The following is a 23,164-nucleotide window of genomic DNA, read 5'->3' as shown; positions in this document are numbered from 1 at the left end:
TGTGAACTACGGCAGCTTGCTAACCATACCAGACCCGTAAAAGGGACTCCAGGGAGGGTAAAGCACCCCCAAGTCTTTTCAAGCTCTGAGCTTTCAAGATATTGTAGAGGATAAAAAGCGACTTGAAAAGGAGAGAGCCAGCAGGTGAGAAGGAGATGCAAGCCCAGGCAGCCCCCCTGCATGCCCCAAAGTTCTCGGTGACCTTGAGTGTGACCCTGTGTTCGTTACTGTCCTGAGTGCTGAAAGGGAAGGTGCGCAGACGCTCACCCCAAGGACACTCAGCCCGAGGATGCTCACCCCGAGGTCACTCACTCCGAGGTCCCTCACCCCGAGGATGTTCACCCTGAAGACGCTCACCCTGAGGATGCTCACCCCGAGGACGCTCACCCCGAGGTCCCTCACCCTGAGGATGCTCACCCCGAGGACACTCACCCTGAGGTCGCTCACCCTGAGGCCACTCACCCTGAGGTCCTGTGGCATTGCCCTGGGCATTTGCTGGGTGACCGACCCCTCAGCCAAGCCCCTGCCATCTGCACTCACCCATTCCTTTGGAATTTGAAGCCACAGAAATTGGCCTTTAAAACCACTAGGCCTGTGGTGTAGTTCCAATTATCCAGTTTGTTCCCTTGGTGTCTCCTGGATGTCAGAATCCAAGTTTACAGGGAAGAATTGGAGGAAAAAGCATGCTTGTAACCATGTGGTCGTTCTCTGCTATCTGTGAAAAGACATAAAGCCTTATTTACTGAATACAAAATACATGCTAAAAGAGCAACTGACCTGGCTTCCTAGGGAGAGTGAGGGAAGCCTGGCCTGCCGGCTGTCCCTCAGCAGGAGGTGGGACAGAGCCTGGATCTGCAGAGACAGAGCAGCCTTGCCGAGTTCAGCCTGTGTGTGTTGCGACCAGGGCAGGTGCAGGAGCCATGGGCACAGCTGCTCCCCTCTGTGACAGCCAAAGCTGAGTTATGCAAATACATAGCTGTAGTGTGGATCTAAAAGGTAAAAAGTGAATCCAACAACAGGTAGACAGCCGCCTTCTTGAGCTCCAAATCCATGATGCACCAGCAGGCCAGGAGGAGCTCCACCTGGCAGGAATGTGGCTTTGGGTCCCGGCTAGGACACTCCTGCCTTCTTCCTAGGAGGTCCCATTGTTGCCCCTCCCCAGGGCTCCTCTCATCTGGGACCCCCTTCAGTGTGGCTGACAGCCCTGCACACCCCTTCCTGGGCAGATGTTCACCTCCGCCCAACCAGGCAGCACCAGCCCAGCCCCACCCAGTACCAGCATGTTCTATCATTTAGGGGAGGCTCCCTTTAAACAAACCTTTTGCACCTGTTTCCATCTTGCAAGCCTAAAACAAGTCCTGCTGCTGAAGCATAGAGTGGTCCGAGTCGGCAGCTTCAGTTTAAGGACTCTAGTGAGGAATTCCTCCAAAGGCACTAAACAAACACAGCTACAAACAGAAATTGAGCCTTCGGAAGGAAACAGTTATCTTGGTCTGAACCTTCATGTGCAGGTTTTCCACTCCAAGCCTGCTCCTTTATTATTCTTTAAATTAAACTAAGCATGTTGATGAAATGGCCTCAGGCCCTGAGCCTTGCTCCTTAGTGCTGGGGTGAAGCGGATGTGTAAGCTGCCTGATAAGTGTGAAGGGTCCTTGTTTTCCAGAACAGGCAGGTCAGGGGGGCTCCTCCCCAGATAGAGGGTCTCCCTGAAAACAGGATTGGTGCTGAAGAAATGTGTGGGCCCTCCACTCCACAGTGACCCATGAGGTCTGAGTTTCTGACACTCACTGGGCCTCACCCACCTTCTCTCCATCCTCTTCATGCTTCCCCTGTGACCATCACTTCACTTCCTTGAAACACTCTTTCCATCTTAAAAAAAATTAAAATGAATAATACGAGTGTCCGTGGAAGTAGGGTCTTTGGAAGTTTTTAAACAATCACCTAAATATTTCTAAGACCCTCTTCTTTCATTCCCATTAAACTTCTAAACAATTGAGATAAAAATGACAGGGAAGCCAGGCATGGTGGTGCCTGTAGTCCCAGCTACTCCAGAGGCCGAGGTAGGAGGATTGCTTGAGCCCAGAGGTCCCCAGTCTGGAGAATATTGCAAGATCCTATCTCAAAAATAAAAATGAAGGGGGAAAATTCCATTTAAAAGATAATATGGTTATGCTTATGTCACTCTCAGGTGCACCATTAAAGCTATTTTTCTTTAAAAGCAATGTCTAAATATGCTTCAAACATGGTGCCTTCATGAACTTTAAATAATGTATAAAATATCTAAGTCTATACAAGTCAATGGTTCACAAGCCAGGACTATCTAAGGAAGCCTTGACCATTCACTCAGCAGTTCTGGGTGGGGGCGTCTAGAGGCCCTTGGGTCTGTGAGCTGCACTCACAGAAAGTTTTGGACAGATCTGAGAAAACAGGGACTCTTATTTTCTTCTGCAGCAGAAGTGGGACTTTGAGCCTCTCTAATAATTTCCCAACTACCGATTAACTCACTTAATTTCATATTGCACATTTGCCAAGACCCAAAATGGCAATTTTGTCCTAATATGCCTGCAAACCTTCAGGGATGGATCCTGGACTCAGAAGCACCTGTGCACAGGGGCTCAGGTCAAGAGTTAGAAACGCGCCCTGACTCACAGCCTCTTACCAAAGTCGGGGGTGGGTGGGATGCAGCCCTTACTCCACATCTTCATCTAACTGGGCTCCAAGTCTGAGCAGATTCAACTCTGACCCACGCGGACCTCTGCAGCCCCTTCCTCTGAGCTGCCACTCAGAGCTGAGGCTGGCCTCTGCCCTCCTGCAGGGATCAGAGACACGGCTTCCCTTCACTCCCTGCAAAGGCCTCCCTTGTTATCTCACCTGTTACAGATGAGACATCACCAGCTCAGAGACTGAGTAACTAGCCCTAGGTCTCCAGGCTGTCAGCCAGAACATCCATGCATCCCTGAACCCAAACCTCCAGAACATCCATGAACCCCCAAACCCAAACCTCCAGAACATTCACGCATCCCTGAACCCAAACCTCCAGAACATCCATGTACCCCCCAACCCAAGCCTCCAGAACTTCCGTGCATCCCTGAACCCAAACCTCCAGAACATCCATGTACCCCCAAACCCAAACCTCCTGAACATCCACGCATCCCCAAACCCAAACCTCCAGAACATCCATGTACCCCCAAACCCAAACCTCCAGAACATCCATGCACCTCCAACCCAAACCTCCAGAACATCCACGGATCCCTTAACCCAAACCTCCAGAACATCCATGCATCCCTGAACCCAAACCTCCAGAACATCCATGCACCCCCAAACCCAAACCTCCAGAACATTCATGCATCCCCGAACCCAAACCTCCAGAACATCCATGCATCCCTGAACCCAAACCTCCAGAACATCCATGCATCCCTGAACCCAAACCTCCAGAACATCCATGCATCCCTGAACCCAAACCTCCAGAACTTCCATGCATCCCTGAACCCAAACCTCCAGAACTTCCATGCATCCCTGAACCTAAACCTCCAGAACATCCATGTACCCCGCAACCCAAACCTCCAGAACATCCACACATCCCTTAACCCAAACCTCCAGAACATCCATGTACCCCCAAACCCAAACCTCCAGAACATCCATGTACCCCCAAACCCAAACCTCCAGAATATCCATGTACCCCCCAAACCCAAACCTCCAGAATATCCGTGTACCCCCAAACCCAAACCTCCAGAACATCCATGCATCCCTGAACCCAAACCTCCAGAACATCCATGCATCCTTGAACCCAAACCTCCTGAACAAGGCCCATTGCTTCTGAAATCTTGCAGACAGCAGAAAAGGTCTTCAGGGGCTTTCCGACTTGAATGACTTAAACTTTCCCCAGTTTTTTTATTTTAGGTTTTGGACTTCCCCATGATGATTTTCGCCACTTTTACTCACTTACAGTTGATGAGTGAGTGGAAGGTGACCTCCGGGACCGGTCAGGTAGAGGAGATGCATCACACGGTGATCTAAAGGCTAGAAATCAAAACCGGACCCTGTGACCTCCCAACCGCAACACAACCAAAGGGCTTGACAGGAGTAACTTGAGGTTTTTGGCCAACGATATCTGCACAGTTTATCAAATCACGATCGTGACTACTTCATGCTAGGCTGTATACGCTTTTTATTCTGACTTTTTACTACAAGCCAGATCAATATTGGTCAAGCCCATATTATAACAAATAGCTCCTATTGAAAATCTCAGTGCCACCCAAAGCTTCCAAAATGCCGACCAAGGAAGTCCAGGAAGCCAAGTGCAGCCAGTGCCAACATACGCAGCCATTCATTGAAATCCAGCAGGAAACTCCCTCTCAAGTCACACCCGTAGGACTGGTAAATTTGAGGCTGCGGGGGCCCCCACAGTTGCCAATTTTCTCACAAGGGGGTTGGAGGCTTTAAAAAATGGATCTTTCAAAGAATATTTTTTTCTGAAGTAGAGAAGGTGCACACATTACGGAATGCACTCTGCACAGGGCTGATTCCTGGGCCCCCGGCCGACGGGGCCGTTCCCAGTGGCCTCCTTGCAGCCCTCAGGTCTGACATCGACTTCAGGGGATTGCAGCAGCTAAACCTTCTCCTGTAGAACCTCTCTCTGATTATTAACACATTATTTGGTTGTTATTCTCAGTTTTGCACATTTAACACATTTATGTTGGCTGTTCTAACATCTGCCCAATAACCTTTCTTTAATATGAAGCAGATATGATTGCTGCTTCTATTTTATGAAAGGATGAAGGCAGGGAGAAGTCGGTAACCGGCCTAGGATCCCATCCCGGAAGTGGCTGAGTGGGCACACAGCCCAGCTGCCCCTCCTGGTATGCCCAGCAAGGCCTGCCTGGCAGTGAGCGGTGGCAGTGGCTGCACGGCCTCAGCCCTGAAGGCTCCTGTTCCCCGTCCTGAGCCCTGTCCATGCAGCAGACTCCATTGGAGGGATTCGCCCTTTCCTTCGTCATCGTTATGATCCGACGTTCCCGTAGTGCTCAGTGTTCATTTTTCACACTCTCATCCTGCCATGTGTCTTTCCTGGAATAATCAAGTGTCTCCCACGCAGCTACTTCAATAAGGTCTAAGCGACGTGTTTCTTTGTTTCTGTGACTACTACTAGAAAGTAAAGAAATCATTTTGCAAGATTTATCCTTACAAACTTTTTGTTTCAACGACAGGGCTTCATCAATATTTCCCTTAAAAAAAATTATGAACGTTCATTTAGGATATTTTAAGTCCCAGACTTTGACCATAAGTTGCCCACTTACAAAGTGCCTCTAAATACACACACATACACACACACACACACACACACACACACATAAAATGAAATCTACAAATCACTTGTTACGCATCTGAAATATATATGATCTATTATACATATACATGTATATTCACTGAACGATATTTACTTTTTATTATAATAAAATTCATGTTTTTACAATGTGAGTTGGAAGTCTTCCCAATGCCAGAATAACAGACTTTTCAAGTTATCCATCAACTCTCAGGTCAGTATTACTGGCCCTGGGAGAGGCTACACCAAAAGGAATGAGGTGAAGCCCATTTGGTCCAGCCGACAACTGTGTGTCTGAGGCAGAAACAGACGCCTCAGTTCATCCCCCTGGTCCCCTCCGGGCTGTTGGTGTCTCTGGAAACTAAGTGCAGTGGCATTTGAGAAGCCCTGGATGAAACCCGTAGGTTAAAAGTGTGTTTCCCTCCTATGGATTTGTGCAGTACCCTGAGTAATTACTCTCCATTTCTAGCTCTTAGTTGTCTCATTTGTAAAATGATTTGTCCTCAGTAACTTACTCCATCAGGAAAACCAGACGTGGAGGTTGCTGGATATGTGTTAGAGGGAGGGAGGAAGGGGAAGTGTGTGCGTGGAGGGAGGGAGGCAGGAGCCTTGCGGTGCGTGGAGGAGGCAGGCGGGGGGCCTGGAAGGAGGAAAGGGAAGTGCGTGCGTGGAGGGAGGCAGGAGCCTTGCGGGGCCTGCAAGGAGGAGGGGAAAGTGTGTCCATGGAGGGAGGCAGGCGCGGGGCTTGGAGGGAGGAAGGCGAAGCGCGTGCATGGGGGGAGGCAGGAGCTGCGCGAGGCCTGCAGAGAGGAAAAGGCGGGCTCTTGGAGAAGTGCGGCCTGGAGGCGGCATCCGTCAGAGGTGGACCTTCCTGGCGGAGGGATTTTGTTTTCCTTCTCAGTATGCCCGCTTGGGTGTATGTCTGTAGTTCAACCGCAGATTGTTGGTAATGTCGAGGGAATCAGCAGCGTTCCTTCAAGAAGGATTAATTACGAGCCCGCGTGGTGTTTAAGTTTAGGATGGCCAAGGTGCTCGACACCCCAGCGCCCTTCCCAGGAACCCACAGCACATCCCTGGGCAGCCCGCAGTCCACAGGAGCCCCAAGCTGCAAAGGAGGTTGAAAGACGGGGCGTTGGCAGTGCCCGTGGAGACAGAGAGAGAGGAAAACGATGGCAGGCTGTCCACACCCGCTGTCCACACCCACCCCACATACTGACTCTCGGGGATGGGGTAGGGCTCTGCTTGATGCCCACCTCACACACTGACTCTCGGGGATGGGGTAGGGCTCTGCTTGATGCCCACCTCACACACTGACTCTCGGGGATGGGGTAGGGCTCTGCCCCTCCGCCCCCCGAAGTGTGCATGAACAGGGGCATGTGAATCAAGAGCAAGTATGTTGCCGAAAGACAGCCAGTGAGAAAGGGCTTTTAGGTACAGACACCCCACTCCCCCCCAGTGCAAGTGAGAAGGGAAAAGGGAAGCAGCGACGTCTCCTTAACTCCTGATTTCCTGGGCATCTCGGTGCGACGTGGTGTCAGTGTCTGTGGCAGATTCGCTGCATGTTCCTCAATTTGACGCAGCGTATGGAGCGTCTCTTATTGCAGGTTACTGGATGTGGTACACAGGGTACACTGTCGCAGCTGGAAAGGTGGCACCGATGCTCTGGGAATGCAATGTTATAGGCACAGAACGAGGAGATGAATTGTCAGCCCATTCCCAGGACTGGAACAGGTGACAGAATCCAGAGAAGCACGAGGGAGATGCCACCTCCATGGGCAAGTTGGCCCTGTCCCGATTCTATCTCACACCTCCTTCCACGTGCCCTGAGCCTGCAGGCAAATGCATGTTACCAGAAGCAGCAAAGCAGGTGTGACGGGTGGTGATGGCTGTCTCCTTCCGAACATCTCCAGGTTGATAGCAGACTTAACCTCTGCAACATCTGGGCTGGAGTTAACCAACATGATCAGTTTTGTAAACAAAAAGCACAGCAAAACCACACATGCATCCTTTCCTGGGGCAACCGTGGTGAGGTGCTCTGCTGGGATGTAATGAATAGAAAGTTCTGAGGAGGAAGAGGAGCGGAGCACAGACCTCTGGGGGCCCAAGGCGGGTGGGGGCGAGATCATGAGAGCAGACGCTGTGGCTTGCCGGCGCCCAGCACCCTCTCCCCGTCTGGGTCCCTGGGAAGAGGAGAAGTAACCGGGAGGTGTGAGAACAGGCAGCAAGCTGGAAGATTGTATTTGAAATGTGCATGCGCGGCACGGAGATGAAATTACCTGTATTTGACCTTTCCTTTTCTTTTCAAAGAAAGAATTTGAAATTCCATTTAAAAATCAGAATCAGGAAAAGGCTTGAGGTGTGCAGCTGACTCACTCAATAGATGTGTAATAAGCCTGATTCACATTTGTCTGTGGCGCTGACGTTCTGCCCCCGTCCCTTCCAGACGTCTGAGTTCCCCATTGTCTGGAAGCGTTTTTGCCACGGCTCCTGCGCAGACGTCCTAATCACCTGCTCCTGCTCCTGCTCTTACAGAACCAGGCAGGGCCGCGTTGAGAAGCAGAAACCTGCTGGACAGCTCAGGAAGCCGTAGTGTTGGCCCCACTGTGTGCCCGGCCTCCGTGACGTGTTTAAGTCACACACTTTCTGAGCCTCGAGGCCCTGAGCGACAGTAAGCGTTGAGCTTCAGTGGCGCTGCACACTCAGGTGTCCAGGCACCAGGTTCCTTCCAGGAATGAGTCAAGTGTGGCAGGGCTGCTGGTATGTGTGGCAGGGCCGGGGCCACTGGGAGAGGGGTGGCTGCCGGTCAGCATCTGACAACTGCTCCCAGTGGTAACTCAGTTTCAAGGAAGCAGGAGCTCCTGGTGTTTCAAGGGAAGCCAATAGCCAAAATCTTACTGGAACAAATCTCAGTTTATAAGCTGATGAATCATCTGAATGTTTTGAAATAATGTGCCCTAAGTAAAATCCATCTGCTGCTGGGTTCAGTCCTCTAAGGACCCCTGTTCAAACTTTGGGAAATGTAATAAATATTATTTCTGAAATTCCATGTGCTAGGAAGGAAATCTTGATGCAAAACCTTCCAAATACTATCTCTTTAACTTACTATGACACAAACTAGTATGAAAATTATACGCAAACATATTGGCTGCTAACAGAAGGAAAGTGAAGGTTTGATATTGGCTGGATTATAAAGATATCTTTCCAAATATTCAAAATGTTTAGTGTAGGGTTCCACAGAGGCTATGTCTTCCCCCTAGGAACCTGGGAGGCTTCATGAAGGCCTGAGGCTCCAGACTGGAGACACGGTCAAGTGTGAGACTCACAGACGCCCTGTACCCACACGTGAATGGTTTCTTCCCATGTGCAAGTCTGCATGTGTCTGTGTGTCTGCATGTGTCTGTGTGTGTTTGTGTCTGTGTGCATCTCTCTATGGGTGTGTCTGTGTTTGTCTTGGTGAGTGTGTCTGTGTGTATTTGTGTCTGTGTGTCTCTATGAGTGTGTCTGTTTGTGTGTCTGTGAGTCTATGTGTCTGTGTTTGTCTCTGTGACTGTGTCTGTGTGTTTGTGTCTGTGTGTTTTTCTCTATGAGTGTGTCTGTGTTTGTCTCTGTGTGTCTGTGTGTGTCTAGGTGTGTCTCCCTGTGGGTGTGTGTGTCTGCATGTGTCTGTGTGTGTTTGTGTCTCCCTGTGTGTGTATCTGCATGTGTCTGTGTGTGTTTGTGTCTGTGTGTCTCTGTATGAGTGTGTCTGTGTTTGTGAGTGAGTCTGTGTGTTTGTGTCTGTGTGTGTCTCTCTGAGTGTGCCTGTGTTTTTCTCTGTGAGTGTGTCTGTGTGTCTAGCTGTGTCTCCCTGTGAGTGTGTGTGTGTCTGTGTCTGTGTTTGTGTCTCCCTGTTTGTGTGTCTGCATGTGTCTGTGTGTGTGTCTGTGTGTGTCTCTATGTGTTATGTGTGTGCTGCTTTCACACAAGGCAGGTGGGTGGTGGTAGCTTCCAGGGAGCCTGACTTTCAAGTCCTCGGGATCGGCTGACTCTGAGACCTCTGTTCCCTTCTAGGGGTTGGTGTCAACCCCCCTGGGAGACACGCGTGGTATCATCTCCTCAGGCCTCACTAGCCCTGCACAGCTCTTCGTGGAGCTGAGGGATCCTGGTGAAGCCCTGATGAGGACTCTCACCTGTAGGGCACCTGGGAGGTACCACCTCACCCTGCAGACCTGGGCTTCTCATCTCACTGTGACATTAGGCAGGCAGTAGGCTAGGGCTTGGCTTGCTGCATAAAATGTCCTCTCCATTTGTAATTCCCCAGTGTTGTCCTCAGGCCAGCCCCAGGGGCCAAGGGGAGACGGTCACGGCCAACCAGCCCAAGGTGAAAATAAACTAGCTACTGCACTGGTCCTTCCTACAGGGCTGGTGCCACCTAACCAGGCTCTGTCACACATAATAACACCTTTGCCACCAGGAGCTCACAGAAGATGGTCCTCCTGGATGTAACAGAAGCAGCCTGTGAGCAGCACAACGGGAGGACTGTTTTATTTAGAAAGAAAGCTCTCGAACAGATTAGAATGCCCTTCTCCTTCCATTAATAAATATGTGAAACATAAATCAATCTTTCCTTGGGGACCAGGGCTTATCATTATGAAAATTGGTTCTCATAAAGTGCCGCAGAACAGTGCACACGGGGCCTCTTGAGATGGTGACAGTGTTGGTCCCTTCAGTGTTCAGCCCTAATTGCTATTTGCTGTTTGAGTTCTTGACCTGAACGTGGGTGATTCACACCACTTTTCCTGACCTCCAGTGAGCCGATCAGCCCCACCACTGCTTCTAATTGGCTCATTTGCATGCCCTGGGACTTGGAAAACCACACACGAATCCAAGCTTTGTAGATGCTTAACTAAAATATTGGCAAACTGTCTCTGAATTCATATCTGAGGGGTTTTCCACTGCACTAACAGCACACATGTCAGTGCCTAAAGTTTGAGAAGTGTATTTTGACTGTTCCAATGTCCTTTGTGCCTCATTCCTAGAGGGAGCAGTATGTCACATGACTGGGTTCTAATGAGTTGTAACACATGCAAAAGAAAAATTGTATGACACCAGTTAAGCAAAGAAGGAAGACTTCACTCAAAACTATTGCAACCGGAGAGAGAGACTGAACCCAAGTCCAAATGCACCAGCGGCCAGTGGGGATGACAGCCGAGTGGTGGGGCGAGGGCCTGGAGAGAAAATCACAGAGGCCCTCGGTTAATATCACTAAGGGTGAGGGTGAGCGTCCAGCCCACTATCTCAGCGGGATTCCTGCTAACGCCTCATCCAGGGAGGGCTCACAGGACCCAACCAGCCTTTAGCCAAGGAGGGTGTCCTTGTCAGAGAGAAGTGACCTAATGTTCTCACCCAACATATTCCCAACAAGGCTTCACAGGTGATGCCCCACCTGATCCATTTTCTTGTGTTTCAGGTTAATATCTACAGTTATGATTTTTTTCAGAAAGGTTATTAAACTTGAAAGATAGTTCTTTTAAAGTTCACAAAGAGAATTAATACAAATGGAAATCAGAATTTTACCACTGCATTCAGAAATCACTATGAGTAACCCAAAATACCTCTAATTTGTGGCTTTTTAGGACAATTGAGCAGCATTTCTTGCTTGTTTATCTAGGGGTTTGCAACAAATAATTCAGGATGTATTTTGAAGCCTGCTAAGTGTGGGCTGCATAAACTGTCAAGCATCCTCCAATTATGGTAAACACCCCTTTGAATATTCAGCTGTGAAAACAAGGACCTCTCAGTTCCACTGGAGATGGAAAAATTGCCTAGTCCACATCTTTTAAGCAACTGCTGTTTGTAAATGGATGATTTATCTTCCTGGTATGATCTATGAAATTAAAATATTCTCATTAGCAAACATATTTACAGAGAACCCCATTTGCAATTTTGTATGCAATTTTACATATCCTATATGTGAGTTCAACTTAAATACACCAAATTTGAGTGTCTCTACAGTCCTTAAAAATAGCTAAATCAGAGGTTTGCATGTTTTATAGGCCTCATAAAACATATGATTCAGTCCTGATGCCTAAAGAAGAGACAGAGAATCAGAAAGATCCTAGTTGTAAGCTCGCAATATCTGACTAATTATCATGTGACATTTAACTTAATGTTTGATTCATCATTCTCAGCTTTTCATGAGCAAGATCATAAAATCTATGCTTTTAAATTAAATTCTATTTGGGACAATTTACGCAAATAATTCCTCACACAAATGTACTTACTGTAAGTGCAAAGACATTTCCTTAAGTCAACTGCCGTTACAGATGTTAATTACATAACAATAACTTAAAAACCCTCTATGTTTTTAGTAGATTACATCAGGGGTCTTTTCAGAGTCTACACAAATTCTGAAAGTACGTAAACAGACATGTTTGTCAAAAGATCTTATGTTACCCTGAGCAAATGGGTCTACAAAACCCTTGGTCAACTTTGATGGGTTGAACACATCATGTCAAATAATTGCAACTGTGCTGGTCAAAGCTGATGCCGTTAAACATTGGCCATCTCGAGTCTCAGAGTCTTTCAGATATAAGTTAAACATGTCAGAGCCTATGGGTGGATGAGCTGCGTGTGGGTTCCCGCATTTCCAGTGCCCAGATGCCCTCGCCCCTCAAAAAAAATGAAGCTAAAAATCAGGATTGGAACCAATGTTAGGAAACTGAATGTTGATGAGACGGTTTCTAGCAAAACATTCAGAATTCCCCCTCGGCTGCAGGAGGACGCTGGATACCCCAGATGCGGCAGACCATGGGAAGCAGGGAGAGCTAATGGGCTGGCAGCGGCGTGTGCATGACAAAAATCCTCGGGCAGCTTTCCTGCGGGAACACGATTGGGGGAACACAGTCTGAGCTGTCTTGTAGCAAAGCCGCGTCTGGTCATGAGGATCACCTGGGCGAGAGAGGCTGGGACATGTGCTACTGGCCCCCCTTCGGAGGCTCCGACTCGCAGATGAGCTGCGGCCCAGGAGAATGTGGATTCAGATGCTCGCCCTGGCGGGGCAGGCAGGGCAGGTGGCCCTCAGTGCCCTGCCGACCCTCGGGGCTGTGCTATCTCAGAAAGTCCTCTGGCTCTGTCACCCTGGCACTTGCTCCAGCGGGGTCTTCCTCTCCCTCCCGGTTCTATGCAGCCCTGAACCCTTGTGCGCACCTCTCGTGGCATTTTATAGCGGTGCCATCTCCTCTACTCCTGGGTTATTGGCACCTAAGTAATCCCTGCCCACCCACCCTATCCAATGCTGGTCTCAGCCTGGAGCCTCCATGCCCGGTCCTTCCACCTGGCAGGACTGTGGCTGGGCCCCAGCTCCCTGCAGGCCACTCTGTGGGTCCCTGAATGTCGGGCTAAGCCCTTGGAGTGCTTCGTTGCTGTGCTATCCTTGTCCGTCCTCTGACGCCCCCGTGCCGCACCCTCATTTACTGTGGGCCTGGAGGCCTCTGGTGAGCCCTGAGATGCTGCAAACCCAAGAAGCCTTCGAAGCATCCATGCCACTGGCCTGAGGCCTTCTCTGGGGGACACAAGGCCCCCAGGGAAGTGTCATCTCCAGGGGCTTCCCAGAGAAATGCCCCTCCCTTCCCCCGGACCCCGGCCTGTGCCATCACTCCTTTTTCTCTTGATGTCCTCAGGACCGAGGAGTTGGATTTCCCTGAGCTGCCTCAGAATGGCTGACATTTCCCCTCCCAGTAGACGATTGCTTCTTGGCATTTGGCACAGGCCACAGCCCTGGGCTGGACCCCGGCATGCAGGGCCTAGCACTGTCTATGCACCGCCTGGGTGGGGTGCCTGGGGATTCCCTCTCTGGGCCTCGGGTGCCCCGCATGCAGAAGGCATTCGTGGAGGTCCTCTCGGGTGGGCCCAGTGCTCCTGCATTGGCAGTGGAGGCAGATGTGTGCCGTTCCCTGGGTGGATGCGAGTTCCCCACGTCGGGGTGCGTCCTCTGTTTCTGTGGCGTCTCCCCCAGCCACGCTCAGTGTCTGCGCACAACGCCCACTCACGTGCATTTCCAATGAGCTGGAAACGGCGGTGAAGCTTTTATATTAATTGTTATATGAAGTCTTAAATATTAAGGAAAGATCTAGGGCAATAAGCCAGGGAGCCAGGGGAAATAACTAAAATTAAAGATGTTGAAGTTGGAAGTTAGCAGTGACCTAAGCTTTTTTTTCCTTTAATTATGATTCCAGTACTTCCTGTGGGAAAAGTGAAACTTAATACAAGAAGTTCTGGCAACTCTAGAGATTTTAATGACAAAATACGGGGGCTCCTTCCCCCTTGCCCCTGGTCAAGGTGTCGGCATGACTCACCTTGAATCTCATGGGTCCCTGGTGTTCTTTCTTTCGGTTCTGTGGCCTCCTGAATGCCATCTGTTTTCTTGATTTCCCTTCTCAACATTTCTTCTGCCATCTCATTCTAAGCAATTAAGCCCACGCAACTCAGTGGGGCACAGAAGAACTCTGGCAGTCTTGAGGAGCCATTTGGCAACAGAGCGATGAGGATGCAGCACACAGCGCCCTAGGCTGGGGATGGCAGGGCCCCCAGAGTCAGCCGCATGGGAGTCCCACGTTCCCCTTGCCGTCTGCTGACTGTGATCTTTGAGAAGTTACTTCATCTCCCCAGTCTTCAGCTACTTGTCAGAAATTGAGGGAGGCTAGTGCACTCCTACCAGACGACCGAGATGATGAAATGAGATGATGAACATGAGAGATGCCCAGCACACAGCCTGCTCGCCGTAAACAGCAATTCTTCTTACCAACTGCTAAAGGCCATTCGTGAAATGCATTTCTCTGGACCGTGAAGCCTCTTAGAAAGAAGCCGTGACAGCAGCATTTGTGGGTCGTTAGGTCAGGTCTTTGAAGGATGTGGAGCAACAGAAACCCTCATTCATTGCTGGTGGGAGTGCAGGATGGTGCAGCCACTGTGGAGAGTGGTCTGGAAGTTTCCTGCAAAGCTGAACACACTCTGTTCATACGATTCAGCAAGTGCATACCTTGATACTGACCCACAGGCATGGAAACACAGGCACACAGAAACCCACACACTGACCAGCAGGCATGGAAACACGGGCACACAGAAACCCACACACTGACCAACAGGCATGGAAACACGGACACACAGAAACCCACATACTGACCCACAGGCACAGAAACACGGGCACACAGAAACCCACATACTGACCAACAGGCATGGAAACGCGGACACACACAAACCCGCACACTGACCCACAGGCGTGAAAACACAGGCACACAGAAACTGCACAGAAACAGCTGTTTACAGCCACACTATTCATCATTGCCAAAACTCGGCAGCAGCCAGATGTCCTTCAGTGGGTGAATGGATAAACAGTAGCACGTTCAGACCAGGGAATGATATTTCATGCTAAAAAGAAATGACCTGGCCAGGCGTGGTGGCTCACACCTGCAATCCCAGCACTTTGGGAGTCCGAGGCAAGCAGATCACCTGAAGCCAGGAGTTCCAGACCAGCCTGGTCAAGATGGCGAAACCCTGTCTACTAAAAATACAAAAATTAGCCAGGCATGGTAGCATGTGCCTGTAGTCCCAGATACTTGGGAGGCTAAGGCAGAAGAATCACTTGAACCCAGGAGGCAGAGATTGCAGTGAGCCGAGATCACGTCACTGCACTCTAGCCTGGGTGACAGAGCGAGACTCTGTCTCAAAGAAAAAAAAAAAAATTCATTTGTCAAGTCATGAAGACACATAGAGAAAGCTTAAATGCACATTATTAAGTGAAAGAAGCCCATCTGCAAAGGTTACAAACTATGTGATTTCAACTCTATGATGTTCTGAAAAGAGCGAAACTACGCGGACAGTAAAAAGATTCATGGTTTCCAGGGGTGGCGGGGAGGGAGGGATGAGCAGGCGGAGCACGGAGGGCGTTTCGGGAGTGGCAGCGCTCTGTAGCAGCGCTCTGTAGCAGCCACGGCGGGGAGATGCACTTGTCGCAATTCTCAGAGCCGCACCACGCAGAGTAACCCAGATGTAAATAGAGCCAATAATAATGCATCAATACTGCTTCATCAGTCGTAATCAATGCGCACATGGATGCAAGATGTTAATAGTAGGACAAACTGTGTACAAGGAGGCGGCATGTATGGGAAGTCTCTGTACTTTCTGCTCAACTTTTCTGTAAACCGAAAACTGCTCTAAAATAGTTGATCACTTTTAAAATACTTTAATTGCACACTATAAAATATATTGAATTTATAAAATTTATTAACTGAGTTTACCAAATAATTCAATTGAACATTGCAGCTAATCACATCCACTGGACTTAAATTTAGCTTTGTCCTGTGTCTGCCTGGTGATGTCGTGTTCCGCGTCTGGTTGATTGGCAGTTCTCTGGGTCACACCCTGGCGTTCTGCTGATGCTCCCAGGCCACATGTGTACAAATGTCTGGTCCGTAGAAACCAGAGCAGAGGTGGCCGCTGCCCGTCAGGAGCCAGTGCTTCTTCCCCTAGAGGGGCACTGCTGGGAGACGTCGCCCCAACTTCCTGCCCAGCACCCTGGGCACCCGGCGTGGTCACAGCAGGAGCGGAAATGATGTGAATTGTTGCAACCGGAGCCTGCGGACTCCTCCCTGCTGTCCTCTGTCTCTGGCCTGCTGGAAGCCATGGGTTTCGAGGGGCCGTAGTTCACTGCAGACCCTAGCCTCACCCAGATTTGACAGTTCTGGAACAGGAAATAAACTCGCTCTAGTTTTTAATAGCTGTGGTAAAATTACCACAAACTAAGCAGCATAAAACCATGCCATTTGTTACCTCATGGTTCCGTGAGTCAGAAGTCTGGGCCCACGTGGCTGCACTGAGTCCTCTGAAAAACCCTTGCAAGGCCGGAACCAAGAGCAGGCAGGTCAGGCTCTGGGTGGGGGAAGGGGTCCATGGGGAAGCTCTGCAGGGGGCTCCGAGGGCCCTGCCCCGGTTCAATCAGGGCGCTGGCTGAATTCAGTTCCTGAGGCCGAGGATGGAGGCCCATCTCCTCTCCGCTGGGGCCAGCCTGGGCTCCTGGAGGCTGCCTGGATGAATTCCTCCTCAAACCCGTGGACCGGGCTCCCCTCACCTCCAAACCTCTCTGATTTTAGTGGGAGAAAGTTCTCTGCTTTGAAGGGTTATTGGATTGGGCCAATAACCCTTCCAAGAATAGTCTGGGACATCCTCCCACTGCAGGGTCAGTAACCTTAACCACATCCTTAAAGCACCTTCAACGCTGAAAAGTAACATGTCTGGGTCCCGGGCTTAGGGTGTGGACCTCCCTGGGGACTCCTGGGCTCAATGCACATGCCCTGAGAGGAGCAGCTGCAGTGCAGGTTCATCTGTCAGAGCGTCTGCCGCTGCCTCAGTGCCTGCATTTCCCTTTCTTCAGCCTGATTTATAGCTCCTAGCCCCTTTCCCTCCCCAGCAGCAGTGCGGTTCCGTAGAGGGAAGACGGTGAAGCTGCCCAGAGACTTGAGTGCCTGATTCTCCCCGTCCCTTTGCACTTGGGAAATTTAGGGCAAGTGTGTGAAAGTCAGTGCCTGAAGTATCTGTCTGTGCAATGGGAGTGATTGTGACATTATCTGAGGCAGGTTTGGAAGAGGATCCTGGGCAGTGTGACTGCTGGTTCCTGTCTGCTCGGTGAATGCCGACCCTCACATGGTGCCCTCCCTCTGTCTCTGCTCTGGGCTGGTTCTGTACTCCCCACCCTGGCTCTGCTTCCCTGGCTAAAGCCCACCCTCTGCTTAACTTGTCTGCACTCTAGGTGCTTGCCGGGGCCCTCCCCCAACCCTAGCTGCCTCTTCAGACAGACAACTTCCAAGGCATCCTGTAAAATAAAGACCATGAAGGAAAGAAACCTGGCCCAAGGCAGTGAAGCTTTCTAATTCTCTTTCTCCTCTATTGGGAGATGAGATGAGAGGACGTTTGGGTGGGGAAGAAAGGGATAACCTGTGAGACATAGGCCATCTGTGACTCAGGAAACCGTGGAAACCCACCCTCCCTCTAGCTAAGGTACACAAAACCACTGGGAATGTACCCAATTATGACCCAGAGAAAGTGACGACGGGGACAGGGCCTGGGGAATGTGTAAGAGTTAAAGAAAGAAGAAAGGAAACATGAAAAGTGGCTTCACAGTCAAAGACAGGTTTATTTTGGAAAATAAACCTGAGAGGGGCTTCTGGCTGATTTCGGTCAGGAGCACTCTCTTACAGACTAAGGGTATTTAAGGGTTTAGGGAGGGGAGCTTATCGCAGGCTCGGAATGTTTCTGTGTGAGGGAAAGTTTATTGCAGGGTTGGAATGCCTCTGTTTGGAGACGAGGTTATCTCAGGGTTGGCATGTTTCTGGTCAGAGGGGGGGTTTATCTCAGGGTTGGAATGTTTCTGGTCATGCTGACATTAGCCATTAGGCTGATGTTTTGGGGCTGGATTTAGGTGGTTTTTAATCAAGGAGAACTTAAAATGGTGGCGTTTGTCCAAGATGGTGATGCTCCTGCTCTATCAGAATGTGGTTAAACATGCAGTGGAATGAAGGCAAGGCCAGACGTATACTGACACAGTGCGGATCAAAAGTTCAGAGACTTTGGGGCCAAGGTGCAGGGCTGGGGATGGGCAGGTGTCCATGGATACCCCGACACTGGATCCAACTCTGCTACTGCTCACCTGATACACGGGGTCCCAACAGGAAACATCAGAGGGGCACAATTATAAGACAAATCCACCCTTTTTCTGGGGTCTTGGGCCTTACGTGTTCTGGTTGACAGGGCAAAATCCCAGGGGCTCTGGAGCCCCAGATACTGGAGCTATTCGTTCCTTCTTTACCCCTCATTACATGCAGTTACCTGTGGCTGACATGACTGGCCACCATTCCACCCCAGTTTAATCCAACATACATAGTCACACTCATCTGTAAACTTCCCAAAGGTGGGACCTTACGACCGACTTTGCTTCCCTCATCTGAATATATTAATAATTAATAATTTCTGACACAGAGTGAAATGCTCAATAAATGTTTGTTGAACCAAACTAAACAACACCCAAGTGCTGTTAGTGCACCTGCAGAAGGGGATTGATGATTATCCTCCAGGAAGTAGCCAGTGCTTTGTGAGCACAGGCTCGGTCACAGGGAGCTTCTATTCTGCATGCTCCACTCCCCAGACTGGAAGGGGGCGATGGAGGAGGAGGGTGGACACAGGATACTGGAGGAGAGCAAGGAAGGCAGGCGGATGAACCAGGAAGCTGCATGATGGGTTGCCCAGGCAGGGCAGGCAATGGAGGAAGAGGGTGGAGACAGCCCCTGCCCCGGGGTCTCACAGGACAGTGGAGGAGAGGAAGGAAGGCAGGCAGATGAACCCAGAAGCAGCATGATGGGTCGCCCAGGCAGGGCAGGCAATGGAGGAAGAGGGTGGAGACAGCCCCTGCCCCGGAGTCTCACAGGACACTGGAGGAGAGGAGGGAAGGCAGGCAGATGAACCCAGAAGCAGCATGATGGGTCGCCCAGGCAGGGCAGGCAATGGAGGAAGAGGGTGGAGACAGCCCCTGCCCCGGAGTCTCACAGGACACTGGAGGAGAGGAGGGAAGGCAGGCGGAGGAACTACTGGAAGCAGCATGATGGGTTGCCCAGATGGGGCAGGGCCCAGCAGGAGCTACCCCTGCAGATGTGGGCATAGGCGAGTTCACCAGGCTCTGAAAGTTGGGCTGGGATTGCCCGGATCTTAGAGACAAAGGCGTTGTATTCCAGCCTCATCGTTCTGCAGCTGGAGACGCGCTGAGAATTCAGACTAAAGTGACCGGGGCCGGCAGTGGGGCTCCAGGCTCCTTCCAGGGAAGAGGGATCACCCCGCTCCCACTGTCTGAATCGTGTTTCTGTGCACGTTTTAGTCAGTTTGGTTTTTTCGTTTTTTAGATGTCGCGTGGGGACCCCCATTTTCTGTCCCTGTGCCTGGCTCCGGCCTTCCCCCAGCTCATAGACAGGACGGGGATGTGAGCAGCAGAGGAGCCCGGGGCAGGCCAGGAAGGACTCCCATCCCCGTTTATTTAGCAGGTGTGGAATGATTCGGTCTTTTCATTGTAATGCAGATTTACAGTGCAATAGGCAATCTATTTTTCAATTTGGTATACTGCCGCTGATAAATTAACAGATGTCGATTGACTTTTTCCCTCCAGTCCCCTGTGTTACACCTGACAGGCCTACTTTATAGCTGAGCAGTTATTTGAAGTTATAAACATTATAATTAGCAATTTTTTAATTAGGCTGACAATTAACAGGAGATTTGCAAAGCTGCTAATTTGACATGTCATACTCTCCGTAGTGCTTATGTTAACCACAACTTGAGTGAATTCAATTGAACAGAACCACAGTGTCTGGGAAAAAATCAATCTCAGAAGAACCCTTTCTCCCCACTTGGCTGGCTTCATGGCACTTGGACAGAGAAGTGGAAATTCAGAGATTTTGCAGGATAACAATACTGACAGCTGAACCCCAAACAATAGCAGCCTCCGCGAGACTAGCTCAGAGCACACGACACAAAGGCAGGTCCTGCTAATTGCATCTGAGGCTCTTGCTTCAAAGTCTTGACGACCTAAGGCAGGTTGGAGGCTCTGTTCTGATGCCAGTTGCTCCTTAGACCTCATCGCCAAGGAGACCTCCTGATGCAGACACCAGCAAGGGCTGTCGTGACAGAGGCTTGTCCTGTATGGCTGGGAGCTTCCCCTGCACCACTGGGTCCTGTGCTGATGCCAATGGAGTGAGAGAGAGATAGAGAGACAGAGAGAATCAGAGACAGAGAGAGACGCGAATCAGGCAGAATCAGATAGAGACAGAAAAAGAGACAGACAGAATCAGACAGAGACAGAGAGAGAAAAGAGATACACAGAGAGAGAAAAACAGAGAGAATCAGACAGAGACAGTATCAGATAGAGACAGAGAAAGACAAGAGATACACAGAGAGACAGAGAAAAACAGAGAGAATCAGAGAATCAGATAGAGACAGAGAGAGACAGAATCAGATAGAGAGAGACAGAAGAGCTACATAGAGAGAGAGACAGAGAAAAACAGAGAGAATCAGACAGAGAGACATACAGAGAGAGAGAGAATCAGATAGAGACAGAGAGAGACAGAAAAAGACAATCAGATAGAGATAGAGAGACACAGAGAGAGACAGGGAGAATAAGATACAGAGAGAGAGAGAGACAGCATCAGACAGAATCAGATAGAGACAGAGAGAGAGAATCAGACAGAGAGACACAGAGACACAGAGAGAGACAGTAGAGACAGAAGAGATACACAGACACACACAGGATCAGATAAGAGACAGAGAGACACAGAAAGAGAGAGAGAGACTGAGATAGAGAGAGACTGAGGCAGACACAGACAGAGAATCAGATAAAGAGAGACAGAGAATCAGATAAAGAGAGACAGAGACGGGGAGAAACAGAACCAGAGAGAAACTGAGAGCAGAGAGAAAGAGAGAGAATCAGAGACAGAGATAGAGAGGGAGAGACAGGAGAGAAAGACCGGGAGGGAGGCTGCCCTTCCACCTCCAGGGAGTTCATCCCATCCATGCCTCCCAGCAAAGGAAGCTCTCACCATGGCCCCTGGCTCTCGGATTCCAGCACCCTGCGCTCGGCTTAGAGGACATACTGCATTTACATCCTTGGACCTTGGAAGGCTTCTGAGGTCTGTTACTTGGTAACCGCCTGCAGCACAGGAGATGCTGCCTTCTGTTGGAGGCCTCGAGAGACTCCAGAAATGGGAGACCTTCAGGAAACCGTGGCTTCAGAGGGGAGAGAGATGGTGAGTGCATTATCTCCATAATCTGTCTGAGGCCAAGAGAGGAGGAAAGACAAAATTATTTGAAAATTTCCAGTAAGAGGAAGAGAAAGTGTTACATTTTCACCGCTTTTAAAAAGAAGGAATTTTAAACATAAAAAAATATGATTTATCAAATTCCTTGAGTTACTCCTTGCTTTCTTTTCCCTAGGCTAAATCTCACTTCCTGTGTGCAATGAGCAAGCCATTAATTAGAATTTGCAGTACTACAAGAAGCAACGTACTGAAGTTGAGCTGTGCCATTGAGCTTTGCTTAATAACTTTTTGCTGCTTTCATACTTTTTTGAAAATCTAGATCAGAAGAAATTGGCCACCTGGAGACTCTGAATCTGAAGACCTCTTTTCGAACTTTTCACAAGGCTGCATGCTTTCTATGGTGTACGTTGTGGAAAAAAAAAATAGAATTTGGCATCACTGAGTTAATCAGAAACCCTAAGTTTTATGAGAACTTTTGTTAAACACCACACACACACACACACACACACACACAAAACACTAGATGGGTACCACTGCTTTAGGAAGAGAGAGTTCCTTGATTTTTCAACTTAAAGTATCTTATCTTTGAAGGAATTTGCTTTGTTTTTTTCTGGCCCATCCTAATGCCTCTACTTCATGGCATGGAAAAAAAATCCACAGCATTCTCTGGGCAACAGGATAAATAAGCCTTGAAGATAATTTTAATTTTAAGATAACCTTCCCATATATAATAGGCACATTAAAAAAAGATTAATTACCATTATTATCTTTGAGCACATTGGCCTAAAGAAGTCAGTTCTAGTCACAGAGTCAAAGCTGGCACATCCCACATGAAGACGCGTGAGAGTCCCAAATCTCAAGTCATAGCCAACACCCCAATATGAAGAGAAAGGCCTTTTATGCAACAAGTGTGCGTCATTCACAAGACCACGCACTAGAGGAATAGAGTTGTATATTATTAGCAGCTCTCTCTCTCTCTCTCTCCCTTTTTCTCTCTTTCCCTCTCTCTCTTTCCCCCAACCTCTCAACCAGTATGAAAGTGAAGCTATCTAATACCACCCCAAAAATATCAGATGTTGTAAAATTAGCACAATATGAGATTGCAAAGAAGTATTTGTCTTTGGGCTAGGAGTCATGGCAGAAGAGAAAAGTAGAATTACACGTGGACCCTGGGAGGCTGGCAGGGATTCCTGGTGGAGGAGACGCCATGAGTCCCTAGGTTCGACGTCATCTGAGGCCCCAGATGAGCATACATTGTTCTACTAACACAAGGGGGATTATTTCAAAGTTACTTTCCAGGGTTTTAATTGATGCCCATTTTGGCGATGTAGTACCTTTAAAAGATTACGTTATGATGTAGTTTCTGTTTTCAAAAGCAGGGGGAGTAAGAAAAATATCCCAGAAGTGCATTAATAAAAGTGCTTACAATTTTATAAAGACTTTACTCTTAGACAGCTTTATTTCAGTTATCTGAAAAATTAAATGTGAACACTGTTTTGTCTGGATGAAGCTAGATAAACGAGATATATAGGTGTGTGGGCACACCTCACACCTCACACAAAACCCACAGCTTACTTCAATACAACTTTTAGTGAAACCCACTAATTTATAAGCTCTTTTGTAATGTAAACATGAAAATAGATATTCTTCCTCCTTCCAAGAGGTGGTTTGATATCCACAAGATTAACTTTGAACAAAGATGCTACTGAAAATACTCAAAACCTCGCTTGTTCCAGTACTGACACATCAAAAGGGATCCTCCATGAACTTACTCCTGAAAGCCAGCCATGCCCATGAGGCCATTTTCTAATAAAAAGGCATTTCCAGTTTTCTTTTTTTTTTTAATTCCACTTTTTCTAATGTGGTTTTCCATCTCCTGTTTAGAGTCAATAAAAATGCTGAACTTTGACCTAGAGCATAGAATGTTTGAAAATGCAGAAGGTGCCAGCACTCCTTTATTTTGATAGTTAAACACACAGGACAGTTTTACAGTGGTTCTGTTAGAATAAATAGT

General features: G+C 49.0%; 1 protein-coding gene across 1 annotated transcript in view, besides 6 other annotated features; it reads left to right on the top strand.

Moving 5' to 3' along the window:
• The window catches only part of ADARB2 (adenosine deaminase RNA specific B2 (inactive)), a 560,213-nt gene that overhangs the window by 58,860 nt on the left and 478,189 nt on the right, over positions 1 to 23,164 (top strand). The window lies entirely within an intron of this gene.
• Positions 3,776 to 3,915: an enhancer, noted in NCBI's record as "active region_2903". NCBI's record gives its function as "activates an Ori minimal core promoter by ATAC-STARR-seq in GM12878 lymphoblastoid cells {active_cell/tissue: GM12878}" and the evidence as "EXISTENCE:reporter gene assay evidence [ECO:0000049][PMID:35858748]".
• Positions 7,422 to 7,921: an enhancer, noted in NCBI's record as "H3K4me1 hESC enhancer chr10:1712939-1713438 (GRCh37/hg19 assembly coordinates)". NCBI's record gives its function as "activates a minimal SCP1, AML or CMV promoter by ChIP-STARR-seq in naive H9 embryonic stem cells {active_cell/tissue: H9 hESC(naive)}" and the evidence as "EXISTENCE:reporter gene assay evidence [ECO:0000049][PMID:30033119]".
• Positions 7,922 to 8,423: an enhancer, noted in NCBI's record as "H3K4me1 hESC enhancer chr10:1712437-1712938 (GRCh37/hg19 assembly coordinates)". NCBI's record gives its function as "activates a minimal SCP1, AML or CMV promoter by ChIP-STARR-seq in naive H9 embryonic stem cells {active_cell/tissue: H9 hESC(naive)}" and the evidence as "EXISTENCE:reporter gene assay evidence [ECO:0000049][PMID:30033119]".
• Positions 15,520 to 16,019: an enhancer, noted in NCBI's record as "H3K4me1 hESC enhancer chr10:1704841-1705340 (GRCh37/hg19 assembly coordinates)". NCBI's record gives its function as "activates a minimal SCP1, AML or CMV promoter by ChIP-STARR-seq in naive H9 embryonic stem cells {active_cell/tissue: H9 hESC(naive)}" and the evidence as "EXISTENCE:reporter gene assay evidence [ECO:0000049][PMID:30033119]".
• Positions 18,446 to 18,997: an enhancer, noted in NCBI's record as "H3K27ac-H3K4me1 hESC enhancer chr10:1701863-1702414 (GRCh37/hg19 assembly coordinates)". NCBI's record gives its function as "activates a minimal SCP1, AML or CMV promoter by ChIP-STARR-seq in naive H9 embryonic stem cells {active_cell/tissue: H9 hESC(naive)}" and the evidence as "EXISTENCE:reporter gene assay evidence [ECO:0000049][PMID:30033119]".
• Positions 18,998 to 19,551: an enhancer, noted in NCBI's record as "H3K27ac-H3K4me1 hESC enhancer chr10:1701309-1701862 (GRCh37/hg19 assembly coordinates)". NCBI's record gives its function as "activates a minimal SCP1, AML or CMV promoter by ChIP-STARR-seq in naive H9 embryonic stem cells {active_cell/tissue: H9 hESC(naive)}" and the evidence as "EXISTENCE:reporter gene assay evidence [ECO:0000049][PMID:30033119]".

Source organism: Homo sapiens, chromosome 10, assembly GCF_000001405.40.
Source record: "Homo sapiens chromosome 10, GRCh38.p14 Primary Assembly".
NCBI classification, from domain to species: Eukaryota; Metazoa; Chordata; class Mammalia; order Primates; family Hominidae; genus Homo; species Homo sapiens.
The sequence above is the reverse complement of the archived record's forward strand: the minus strand, read 5'-3'. Positions and strand labels throughout refer to the sequence as shown.